Source organism: Homo sapiens, chromosome 1, assembly GCF_000001405.40.
Source record: "Homo sapiens chromosome 1, GRCh38.p14 Primary Assembly".
NCBI lineage: Eukaryota > Metazoa > Chordata > Mammalia > Primates > Hominidae > Homo > Homo sapiens.
In genome coordinates this window covers 172,030,423-172,043,453 of record NC_000001.11, presented here as the reverse complement: position 1 = coordinate 172,043,453, position 13,031 = coordinate 172,030,423, and the positions used below count along the sequence as shown (strand labels likewise).

Below are 13,031 nucleotides of genomic sequence, written 5' to 3'. Positions count from 1 at the left end.
TACCCATTTGCCTCCCACACGAAGACATAAGCACTCACCTCTCTGTTTGAGACAAGTAGCATGGTCCCTAAAACTACTCAACTGCCTATTGGGCATTTTACGCTTAGCACATCCAAAACAGAACTCCTAATTCACTTCTCCATACAAACAGAGGTTTTCCTCCATTTCCCTCATCTGATGGGCACTACCACTCCCTCAGCTGTGAAAGCCAAAACCTTGGAAGTCATCTCAAAACTTCCCTTTCTTCCATTCCCCCATTTCAATCGAAGCCCTAGCAACTTTATCTCCAAAACCCCAAAGCCACCCATCTCTCTATCCTTTCTTGCTGGGGCACTTTTACTGGAAAGCTAAAGAAGTTTAATTCTCAGCATTTCCCCCTTGCACAAGCCTCTTCCAAGACCCTGGGCCTGTGTGTTTATAATTTTGTATTCTTCTTCAAGGGGGCCTGTAAAATTGTAGAAGCTTCAGACTCCACAGAAAATGAATCCACCCCTGGTCTGGCCTACTGTTCTCCTCACTCTCTTGGCTCTTTACAATCCAGCAGGCATACTATTCTTCTAAAATCATCAACAAATCAAGTCACATTACTGCTTAAAACCCTCCTGTAACTTCCCATTGTTAAGTATAAAGACTTTACCTCAACCTAGAAAGCTTTGTGTGAACTGGACACTTCCTCCCTCTCTGAATTCACTTCATGCCCCTCTCCTTCATCAGCCACATCTGTTCTTCACCTGTCATACTTTAGTGCCTTACCCGAGGTTGCTACTTCTGCCTTGAACAACCCCTTTCCCCCAGATCTTTACCCAGTTGACCTCTTCATGCCATTCTGGGCACAGTTTAAATGTCTCCTGCTCAGACAGAATTTGCCTGATTATTCCATTAAAAGTGGCTCACCCATCCCCTCTCTCATATCATGTTACATAAAAACATTTGAAACTTTCGTATTTTGTCTATTTGTTAATTTTCTGTCTTTCCCCACTAGACAAGCAAGGGTCTTCTCTGTCTTAATCACTGGCACCTAGAAATGTGGTGCATAGTACATGCTTAAGAAATATTTTTAAATTAATTAGACAACAAACTAGGAAACTCAATTAGTATTTGTGTTTGAAATGTAGTTAAATCTCATTAAATAAAATCAGAATCATCAGTAAGAACATATTCCTCTCCTGAATTTCATTACCTGAATATGGAGGTTTTGTTCAAAGAACTATGTTAGTTCTATACCACTCACACAATATTGTATTAAGTTGTATAAAACAGAATATGGAAGTGAAGTGAAACTAAGAAAAAAATAACGTTTGACACAAACCTTTACTATCTCAAAAGGAAAGCGTTCATGAAAAATACGATTGATTTTAGCACCACCTGAGAGTTCCAGGGTATCTACTTGATCCCCTGACCCTTCAATTCTCTTCTCAAAGTCCACAGCAAATTGCTGAACCATCCTGTAATTGTTAAAGAGAAATAGATTCAAGTCAAAGTTACAAGCCTTTGCACTCTTCATTTTCTTTTCCTATGATTATTCCTTAGAATCCTTTTCCAGGTGCTCTTAGTGGCACCTACTGGCAGAGTTAACATTGCACTCTATGTAGTACTCACAGTGTGATTATACAAAATACACATCATTAAGATTTTAGACATTTAATTAGAATAAATATTTAAATATAGTTGTCTTTCAATGCCTTCTGTTCATTTGATTGCAGTCATAAAATGGTATTTAAAGAACACTTGAAATAGAGAGTTAATCAATTAAACTTTATGTAGAATAATCAAATGGACCTGAACTCCTATGACATCACAACCACCTAGTGTCCCAAATGCTCCAGCTCTATTACTCCCCCAATGTCACAGCCTCAGTCTCTCCTCACATTCATCCCTAGGTGATCTCAAGGTTGCCATAGCTTCAAGGGCTATTGAGAAATAGTTTCTCCACACCTTCCGCTTTAGCCTATAACTCTCAGAAGAGTGAGTGGCCCATATGCTCAACTGTACTGGATGTTTATTTCCTCTTAGCTGCCTTGAACTCAACACACTTAAAACAACCTCTCAATTTCTTTCACTCCCAAACCTGCTGATCCTCCTGCATTCCCAAGTCTCTCCTCATGGTGGATGATACCACCCACCCCAGGCAGGGAATCTGGGGCATCCAGCATACCTCCCTTTCCCTCACCCAACAGTTGCAGGGAGCCACCAGTTGTAGGTAATTTCTTCTCCATTACAGCTCAGCTGGTTGAGCTCTTCCTCCTCACACCTACTGACACTGCCTTGGTTCAGCTCTCAGCAATGCCTCCCAGCATCACTGAAGGCTCCTCTAGATGATGATCCTGCTTTTGAGTTTATCTTTGTCAAAGTCAGACCTCACCCTATCAGAATAACATAGATTTGTGACCCCTCTAAACTAGCTCTAGCCTTGTTTTTCAATGGATCCCCACAATTCGATAATACAATCAAAACTCTTTAGCCCATCTCCCAGCATTTTATGGTCTGGCTTTGGCTGCCTCTTCAGCCCCATCTCTTACCACTCATCCAACTCACCTTCCAGCCAACCATAAGGAAGCCATTGCAGTTCCCCAAATGCACCATGTCCCTGTGCTTTTACACTTTTCTTTCTGCTCAGAACACCATTCTCTCTGTCCCTTGCTGCTTTGCCTGACTAATTTTTACGTGTTCTTTAAGACTCAGCTCAAGCATTGGTTCTTCCCAGAAACTTTTCATGATCCATGACTCTATCCGGCACCACTCCTCATCGCCCCTCCTCTGCATCTTCAGCGTGTTTCCTGCAGAGCATTTGGCACAGTACATTAACATTGCCATGTCTATTAGTCACTCTCCTAAGGGCAAGGAATGTGTGTTTTCTTTACCTTTCCCTGCTCAACATAATTGGGAGATTTAATAAATATTTGTCCCAGGAAAGAATGAATTACCTTACACTGGCTGCTTGAAAGAAAGAAAGAAAGAAACACGAAAAAAAAAAACCAACTATTTTCATTTGTGATTACCAGGTTTAGAAACTCCAATTTAAACATACTGGAACTACTTTCAAATTCAAAATCTAAAAGGGAAAAAATTCAAACTATCTAAAACTTGTATCTTTTCATTCCCTTCCATCAAAATCATGGATGAATGAAAAGTAGCTGCAAATTATTTAGGCCAAAGAAGCTAGACTGTAATTGGATTTAGTTATGTTCATGTATATGCTAATTTTATTTTTTAAAAACACCTGGAGAGGTATGACATACACACTGAAACATGAAAAATTTTTCAGAAAGTGTACTTCTAGCTGCTCCTTCCCTTAAACCCTATACCTCAGCCACCTGGCCCATTTACTAATCCGAGAACAAATGTTACCAAAGTTCTCATGATTCTCTTGCCCTCCTCCTTCCACATGACAAGGTCCTCTCCTACCACAGGCCCTCTGTTTTCTCTGCAAATTCACATCCTTCCTCACATGTAACTGCTTCCTCATCCGGGCTCCCTTAATATTTTACACTTACAGAAACATAGCATTTATTAGCTTTAACACAATTAATTGTGTTAAATTGTGTTAATTTTTATGTCTGTTTTTCCCTACTCTACTGGGACTTCTTGAGGGCAAGAATCTTATTATCATTCATTTCACAGAACCAGACACTGAGTGCATGAAGAGATTAGAGGAAGGAGGAAGAACAGAGAAAGGAAGGCAGGAGGGAAGGATAGAAGAGAGAAAAGAAATAGGTCAGAAAGAATAGGGCCATAAAGAAGGAGCTGAATCAGCCCTCTGCAAATCAAGAATCTAGCTGTGAAAAGTTCTGTAATCTGAGTCCAATAAAGTCACAGAGGCAAGACCCGGTATTTGCAAGCAGAATAGTTTTAGTTGGATATTAAGATAATGACCTAGGGCCTAAACAGAAATAGCTTTCTCTGTAACTTGAAGAGTTTTTGCAAGAGCTCAACAAAACCCAAGAACGAAAAGAAAGAATAAATTAGGAAAGAGTTATATCTGAAAAAAAAAAAACTCTTTCCTTTGTATAATATTTTTAATGAGGAAATATAGGATGAAGCAATTAATATTATATTTAAATATTTGAGCATTTGGGAATCTCCTCACAAAGAAAGAAATTATAGTGTGCACTTTGAATGCCAATTGAAGGATGCTTTGATTGCCACGCTGCTGGGGAGAAAAGTGCGCCATAAGAGGTGCCAAACATCATCTTCGGAGGTAGACCTTGGGTATCCTGCAGTGTGTGCTGGGCAGGGGAGCCTTCCTGTTGAGAGGGACTTGACACAAGTGGCAGCACAGGATAAAGGAACTGATGGAGACAGAAGGATTTGAAGGAGAGAAGAAAGTGTAAGATATAAAGAGCTAGGAATTCTCTAACAATTCTCTGCTATCCTACCCCAAGACACCACAGGAATAACTCTAGTAACCCAAAGATAAGATGGGAAGATCATGAAGGGGTGAAAAGATGCTTGGCAGTTTCACATTTACATTTTCAAAGGACTACATTAAAATCATTATGTAAAAGGAAAAAAAAAAACTACAGCCTTATTGTTAGAACTTTTAAATTAAACCCTTGGTTCTCATTCCACTGAAAAATGCACACAAATAAGTTACATGAAATAATTGGAATAAAGGATAATAAGTACAATTGACATCCATAGAAACAGCTGAAAAATACAAATGATATTTGCATCTGTATTTACCCACTTCTAAGACAAGGGACAAAAATTCCTGCTGGGTCATCCCTAATGGTTTTACTCACTTAATCCAGTTTTAAAAACACAATTTAAATGGGCATGAGGATGCTCAACTGGTAAGTTGATAATAACAGAATAATACCAATAATTCTTGTTCAACAAAGCATAAAAATTCAAGAGTTATCTTGTATCATATAGATAGCCTCATATAGTTTACTTGCTACCTAAGAAGCAACGTGACAAATAGACTAAGGCAATAGAAAACTAAAGAAATTAGATTAAAATGCTGAGCCAAGGAAGGGAAAGGTGACCTACTGCAGCAATGCTTTGGTCTTCCTTGTTGGGTCTTCTGGTTTGAAATTTTTGTAGGCTTCTACTTCATGTTCTATGGAGAGCAACTGTCCCTGTAGTTTGTTCCTGAAGTTTGGTAGGGTATCCCGAATGTGGTTGGTAAGTTGCTAAACAAAACAAAATGATACACACAGATTGAAGATTGAATCATATACACAGATTAAAGATTAACTCATGAGACAAAGATCCGCCTCCATTGTTTTTCTAATAATTCAAAATTTCAAACATTATGTCTGCATTTGACATTGACTATTATGTAGATAGGGAGAAGGAACACCAACTCCCTCCTCCACTGCCCTTCAGAGATGCTCAAAATTCCTTCATTTAGAGTCACTCACTTGAGCTATCTCTTTAAATCCAGGAAGACCCTGTTAAAATGCAGCTAATGTTACTAATGAGGCTGCCCAATAACACCTTAGCATGGATTGATTTACCAGGTCTCCTACCTTGTAGAAAGGAACCTTAAGTTAGAATGTGATAGAAATGAAGGAAGCTAGGAGTCACAGCTGCTACCCGGTGTTCTCAGGACTAAGTGGTTTACCACACTGATGAAGCTCAGGTAGCCAAGGTGCTAGAGGCACCTGTCAGCTGTTAATTTTCTCCACATTCTTCAGCTGAGGCAGAAACTTACTCATACTTCCATCTCTAGATCCCAGTGCAACTCCATGACTGAGTAAGGGAAAGCTCTCTCTGCTATTGAAGGCTTGACATAACCATCTACTTGGCATTTCCACTGAGATCAGCAGGCACCTCAAGCTCAGTACAATGAAAACTTTTCCAAGAACCTAAGAGTGCATGATTAATTAAGAACAAAGGTGAGATAAAAACCCAGATTGTTTAGGTCTTACAGCCTTTCTATTACAATGCAGTTAAAGAAAAGTCTGAATTAAAAGAAAAAACAGATAATCTTGAACTTCCTAAGTGATGAACTTGAAATCAATGAAAAGAATATAAACTTCCTAGAAATGCAGAAAAAAGAAAAAATATTAAAATTAAGGAGAATTTGTTAATCCAGTCTATCATTGTTGGACATTTGGGTTGGTTCCAAGTCTTTGCTATTGTGAATAGTGCTGCAATAAACATACGTGTGCATATGTATTTATAGCAGCATGATTTATAGTCCTTTGGGTATATACCCAGTAATGGGATGGCTGGGTCAAATGGTATTTCTAGTTCTAGATCCCTGAGGAATCAAGACACTGACTTCCACAAGGGTTGAACTAGTTTACAGTCCCACCAACAGTGTAAAAGTGTTCCTATTTCTCCACATCCTCTGCAGCACCTGTTGTTTCCTGACTTTTTAATGATTGCCATTCTAACTGGTGTGAGATGGTATCTCATTGTGGTTTTGATTTGCATTTCTCTGATGGCCAGTGATGGTGAGCATTTTTTCATGTTTTTTGGCTGCATAAATCTCTTCTTTTGAGAAGTGTCTGTTCATGTCCTTTGCCCACTTTTTGATGGAGTTGTTTTTTTCTTGTAAATTTGTTTGAGTTCATTGTAGATTCTGGATATTAGCCCTTTGTCAGATGAGTAGGTTGCGAAAATTTTCTCCCATTTTGTAGGTTGCCTGTTCACTCTGATGCTAGTTTCTTTTGCTGTGCAGAAGCTCTTTAGTTTAATTAGATCCCATTTGTCAATTTTGGCTTTTGTTGCCATTGCTTTTGGTGTTTTAGACATGAAGTCCTTGCCCATGCCTATGTCCTGAATGGTAATGTCTAGGTTTTCTTCTAGGGTTTTTATGGTTTTAGGTCTAACGTTTAAGTCTTTAATCCATCTTGAATTAATTTTTGTATAAGGTGTAAGGAAGGGATCCAGTTTCAGCTTTCTACCTATGGCTAGCCAGTTTTCCCAGCACCATTTATTAAATAGGGAATCCTTTCCCCATTGCTTGTTTTTCTCAGGTTTGTCAAAGATCAGACAGTTGTAGATATGCGGCGTTATTTCTGAGGGCTCTGTTCTGTTCCATTGATCTATATCTCTGTTTTGGTACCAGTACCATGCTGTTTTGGTTACTGTAGCCTTGTAGTATAGTTTGAAGTCAGGTAGCGTATACACCATGGAATACTATGCAGCCATAAAAAATGATGAGTTCATGTCCTTTGTAGGGACATGGATGAAATTGGAAATCATCATTCTCAGTAAACTATCGCAAGAACAAAAAACCAAACACCGCATGTTCTCACTCATAGGTGGGAATTGAACAATGAGAACACATGGACACAGGAATTGGAATATCACACTCTGGGGACTGTTGTGGGGTGGGGGGAGGGGGGAGGGATAGCTTTAGGAGATATACCTAATGCTAAATGACGAGTTAATGGGTGCAGCACACCAGCATGGCACATGTATACATATGTAACTAACCTGCAGATTGTGCACATGTACCCTAAAACTTAAAGTATAATAATACTAAAATAAAATAAAAAAAGAAAAAAAAAGTAAGGAGAATTAACATATCCAGATTGACTGAAGAAACTATTTTAAGTCATCTTTATGTTTATCTGAGGTTAGCTGAATATATTTATTAAATAAATCTAGAGTTATTTGTCAATAGTTTATAACTGTATTACCCCCTTGCTTGCAGTAATAAATTATTGTTAGCACCCTGGCATGCGTTGCTGTTCTAACTATGAAGCAGGCAACAAAAGAGCTGAGAGGACAGCATTCCCGACAGCAACGTCACAAGAGACAAGGACCCAAATCTAACAGAACCAGCAACCACAAGAAACCAGCAACCAACTGATTGCCATGTGAACTGGTAAATAATAAAAATACCTGATTTCCACCTTTTGCTTCTCAGACATCTCCAGAGCAAAGCAATACTGCGGCTTTCTAAAACACTTCTTCCCCTGGCTTCCATAATTCCAGCTCCTCTCATTTTTCTGCTATCCATTCTGGATGTATCTTCTCTATTTCCTTGGACAATTCACCCTCTTTGCCAGAAGAGTAATTATTGAAATTCCTCAAATCTGGGTCCAAGGCCTCTTTTTTATTTACTCTCTGTTCTCTCTTAAGGGAATCTCATTCCATCCTGGCTTCAATAAACATCCAAATACCTATAGCTGTAAGATGTTGTCTCCAAACAAGATTTATCTTTGCTGTGGCATGCATATTTGACCAGTTGATTGACTTCTCCTCTTGGATGTGTCAATGATATCTCAAGCTCAACATGTCCAAAATCAAGTATTTGATCTTCCCTTCAGGGTTCCCCATCTTGGTGACTTCATAAGAATCTGGAAACCTGAGACGTAACCTTGACTCTACCTCTCCCATTACCCAACAGCTCTAATCTACCACCTAGTCCTCAATTTTCCTGAACATTTCTCAAACCCGCCCCTTTTTTTACTCTCCACTGGCCCTTACCACAACCAAATTCCCATAATTTCTCATTTTTACTTCTAACTGGTCTACTCTTGGTCTTCTTGTCAATACCACATTCTTTTTTCACTCACGGATCTGATCTTGTTGTTCCTCTACTCAGGACCTTTAAATGACTCCTCATTGGTCTTAGGTAAGAGCCAAAATCCTCAATTTGGTCTAGAAACATTACAGGATTCAGCCACTGCCTACATCTCCAATATCATCTAATACAACTCACTACCTCTTTCTCTGCCTTCCCCCGACAGTGAAAATTTCATTCAATTTTTCAAAAACGTCATGTCATTTTCCAGCATTTTCCATATAAATTATCCCACAGGAGCAGAAGTATTGGTACACATACATAGCCATAGAATTATCTTAGTTTCAAACATAGTATAAATATTATTGAAGCAATAAAGAGAGAGTGATTATCCAGGAAAGGAGAAATCTTCAGTTAAAAAAAAAATCATTCAATTTTTAGTCAACGAGAATCCAATTGTGTCATAACTTGGGGGTCACCTGTAATAACCTAATAGTCAACCACCTCCTTTTGTTTTTCCAGTATTCAAAACCTAACTCATTTCCAGCTTTATCTTTCTAATCATATTAGTGAGTTTCCTCTGAGATTTTTTCAGTTTATTTGTATTTTTTGTAGGCAAATACAGCTGTTAAAGCAGTATTCTAAAGAGAGTTTTGACAGTGCAAAATATATTGGTAGAGTGTTAGCATTCTTGCATAACAATGCTCCTTCTCAAAAATATATTCATATTTTTAAATGATACAATCATAGTGATGTTTCCTAGTGTCCAAATGTTTATCTTTAATTAAAAAGTATAAACTTTACAATAGTCTGTATTGTACCTCTTAAAATGGAATTATAACATAATTTTTTATTTTCTAAAATTTCTTCTCAGTTGTTTTGCCTAAATGGTTCAGGTATAATGTCACATATTGTGACAGCTATTGATACTTTCCAGGAGCTAAGAATCAGAAATCTACTTGATTGATTGATTGCCTGATTAAGTTTGTATGTAACAGTTAAAGCATAACTTACAAGAATATTTGTGAGAAAGGCTGCTGATCACATTAAGTCAATATAATCAAAACTCAGGGAGGAGGCCCTGCATTCAATGACAATGATGCTTGTCGTAACACTTAACTCCAATAGGGGAAGGAATATCTGTAACCAAGTAAGAGCATTGAGGATTTACGGAAGAAGTGTGTGCATAGTGCATGGAGCGGGGTAGGCAGAAGGCCCAATTCTAAATTATTGTGGGAAAAGGGGTTATCTAGAAAAGCATCTTAGATGAGTGGAAATCAATGATTATTTAATTAGGATTTGTGATTCTGAAGATTTTAAATTAAGAAACAAATCAATTCTAAACAAAGCCATAAAAATAATTTAACAGAAAGTGTAACCTAGCCATTACAGACTGGTGCTTCAAAAACAGATCCCAAGAGATCAACTTTTCAAAGCTATAAAAATTTAACTTCTCAAGATAACTACATATTACAAGTGAGTATATGCTAAAATGTATATCCCTGTTCACTGTTCCTAAATAGGTATGTGTTTCTGCTTTGATAATTGTTCTTGCAATAATAGGAAGGTGAGTTCTATTCACTGAGAACGGTAATAGTGTGAATCTGAGGTACTAATATTCATTTTTAAAATCCCTATCATTGAAGCTGCATGTCTTGTTTTGGAAAAAAAAATAAACTTAAAAATAATAAATATGAATTCCAGCACCTACTTACATATTTCATAATTGTTCTTGTTGCTTGAAAGAACATTTTTACCTGATTAAGGACCTTCTGCAGGTGTGGGGTTCCCATTCGGTCAGCGATATGTCTGTAAGCCGGGTGGGAAAGGAAAAACTTCCTCTCTGCCAGCATGGCTGCCTTTATGTCCTTCTTCCCATCTATGTCCTTCTGGCTTCTGTTTACCACCCCCACGTAACCTGAAACAAAACACAAATCTATGGAGTTGGGGACACTTTTTGTGGCTTATTCTAGGGAGATTTCAAGGCTCTCACATAGGCAGAGTAAGAAAGGCAAAACTAGTTTTAGGCCTGAAGACTGAGTTCCTTTATAAAACTCAATGGGAAACATCAGTATTGAATACAGGCTGCTGATTGAGCCCACGATAATTTTTTAGCATCAGTACAATAATGCCTCTCACCCTCAAACTGTGTACATTTTAAGAGAGTGTGTATCTTAGCAGTTTTGTCATATAGCAGGCAAGTAAATACCAGGCTTACAATAGTATAAGTTTATGTAGCCTATGATGAATATTTATAACCTCCCTTCAAACTCCTTCCTTTTCCTGTTTTCTTATTCCTGTTATTTTAAGGAATAGTTCTCCCTTTGGATTATTTTCTAGTATATCATTTGGGAACATACAGCCATTCCAGAAAAGTATAACTAATAATAAATCCATTCCTTACAACTGAGAAGGCATTAAAACCAAACCTCCTAGTGGCTTCCCAATCATTTCTCTTCCATATAACAAAAAAAAAAAAAAAAAAAAAAAAAAAAAGTCTTGTATAGACCACAGTACATTACCCCTGCGAAGAGGCAACAGTTTGTTCTCTAGAACATCCCTGGCATCCGTTCCTTCATCCATAAGGTCCAGTTTGGTGATAACTCCAATGGTTCTCAGACCTGCATCATAAACAAACCCAACATTACACAATTTGCAGAAGACTAACAAATTTTAGACATATATGTCACAATGCTAAATGTAAAGCACATTTTCCTGGTCCTTTTCCCATTTCCTTCTGTCTTACTTTGTTTTCTAAGTGCTACTTGAGTTTGGTGATTTCAGTGTGATGAGGAGGACAGTTGCCAAACCACCCATCCAGAAGATAACCTTCAACCCAAGGGAGAAAAACAAATAGCTATAGCACAAAAATAATTTTGAAATATAAGAGTTTATTTTTGTACCACGCATATATGGAAATTATACATTTTCATTTTGCTCCTAAGTTCTCCACCTAATATGAATATTTGAAATTTTTATGTATTACATTATTAAAAGCAAATAAACAAATAAATAGGTTATGCATGGACCAATGATGAGAGTGCGTCATAAACCAAGGATTACTATTGATCCAGTTCTAGTCACTGAGGTCAAAAAAATTAAAAGAAGAAAAGCAGGTAAAGTGCCATCACCAAAAATAAACTTGTAAGCCACACAGCATTCACTATTCCTTAGAAAAGGAAATATGATTTAATGGAAAGAAGACTGTACTAGGAATTACAAAGCTTGGATTCTAGTCTCAAAGCAAGTCACCAAAACTCCCCAGGTCTCAGTTTTCCTCATCTGTCAAATAAAGAGTTAGAAACCATGATCTCCAAGGTTTCTTCCAGTAATAAATAATGTAAGAACCTAGACATTTTGTGTAGCACGTCATATACATGATATTTGTCATTTGTTTTCTTCATTAGATGAAATGGACAGTATTTGCCTAGTAATTTATATTGCTTTATGTTTTATTTTACTTTAAGTTCCAGGATACAAGTGCAGAATGTGTAGATCTGTTACATAGGTATACGAGTGCCGTGGTGGTTTGCTGCACCTATCAACCCATCATCTAGGTTTTAAGCCTCCCAATGCATTAGCTATTTGTCCTAATGCTCTCCCTCCTCTCATCCCCAACATCCTGACTGGCCCCAGTGTGTGTTGTTCCCCTCCCTGTGTCCATGTGTTCTCATTGTTCAACTCCCACTTATGAGTGAGAACATGTGGTGTTTGCTTTTCTGTCCTGTATTAGTTTGCTGAGAATAATGGCTTCCAGCTTCATTCATGTCCCTGCAAAGGACACGAACTCATTCCTTTTTATGGCTACATAGTATTCCATGGTGTGTATGTACCATATTTTCTTTAGCAGTCTATCACTGATGGCCATTTGGGTTGGTTCCAATTCTTTGCTACTATAAATAGTGCATCAATAAACATATGTATGCATGTGTCTTTATAGTAGAATAATTTATATTTCTTTGGGTATATACCCAGTAATGGAATTGCTAGATCAAATGGTATTTCTGGTTCTAGATCCTTGAGGGATTCCCATACTGTCTTCCGCAATGGTTGAACTAATTTACACTCCCACCAACAGTGTCAAAGCATTCCTATTTCTCCACATCCTCTCCAGCATCTGTTGTGTCTTGACTCTTTAATGATCGCCATTCTAACTGGCATGAGATGGTATCTCATTGTGGTTTTGATTTGCATTTCTCTAATGACCAGTGATGATGAGCTTTTTTTCATATGTTTGTTGGCTACATAAATGTCTTCATTCGAGAAGTGTCTGTTCATAACCTTTGCCCACTTTTTGATGGGGTTGTTTGTTTTTTTTCTTGTAAATTTGTTTATGTTCTTTGTAGATTCTGGATATTAGCCCTTTGTCAGATGGGTAGATTGCAAAAATTTTCTCCTATTCTGTAGGTTGCCTGTTCACTCTGATGATAGTTTCTTTTGCTGTGAAGAAGCTCTCTAGTTTAATTAGATCCCATTTGTCAATTTTGGCTTTTATTGCCATTGCTTTGGTGTTTTAGTCATGAAGTTTTTGCCCATGTCCTGAATGGTATTGCCTGGGTTTTCTTTTATGGTTTTTATGGTTTTGGGTCTTACATTTAAG

General features: G+C 37.7%; 1 protein-coding gene across 26 annotated transcripts in view; it reads right to left on the bottom strand.

The window, feature by feature from the left end:
- The window catches only part of DNM3 (dynamin 3), a 576,969-nt gene that overhangs the window by 375,013 nt on the left and 188,925 nt on the right, over positions 1-13,031 (bottom strand). For all 26 annotated transcript variants that reach the window (NR_146559.2, XM_017000979.2, NM_001350206.2 and 23 more), the window contains exons 5-8: positions 10,954-11,052; positions 10,189-10,349; positions 4,993-5,135; positions 1,310-1,445 (exon numbers count right to left, since the gene is read on the bottom strand). Coding sequence is in view for 25 of the 26 variants with exons in the window: in XM_017000979.2 (XP_016856468.1) it covers positions 1,310-1,445; positions 4,993-5,135; positions 10,189-10,349; positions 10,954-11,052 (539 nt within the window). In the remaining variant the exon portion in view is untranslated. The remainder of the gene's footprint in view (positions 1-1,309; positions 1,446-4,992; positions 5,136-10,188; positions 10,350-10,953; positions 11,053-13,031) is intronic.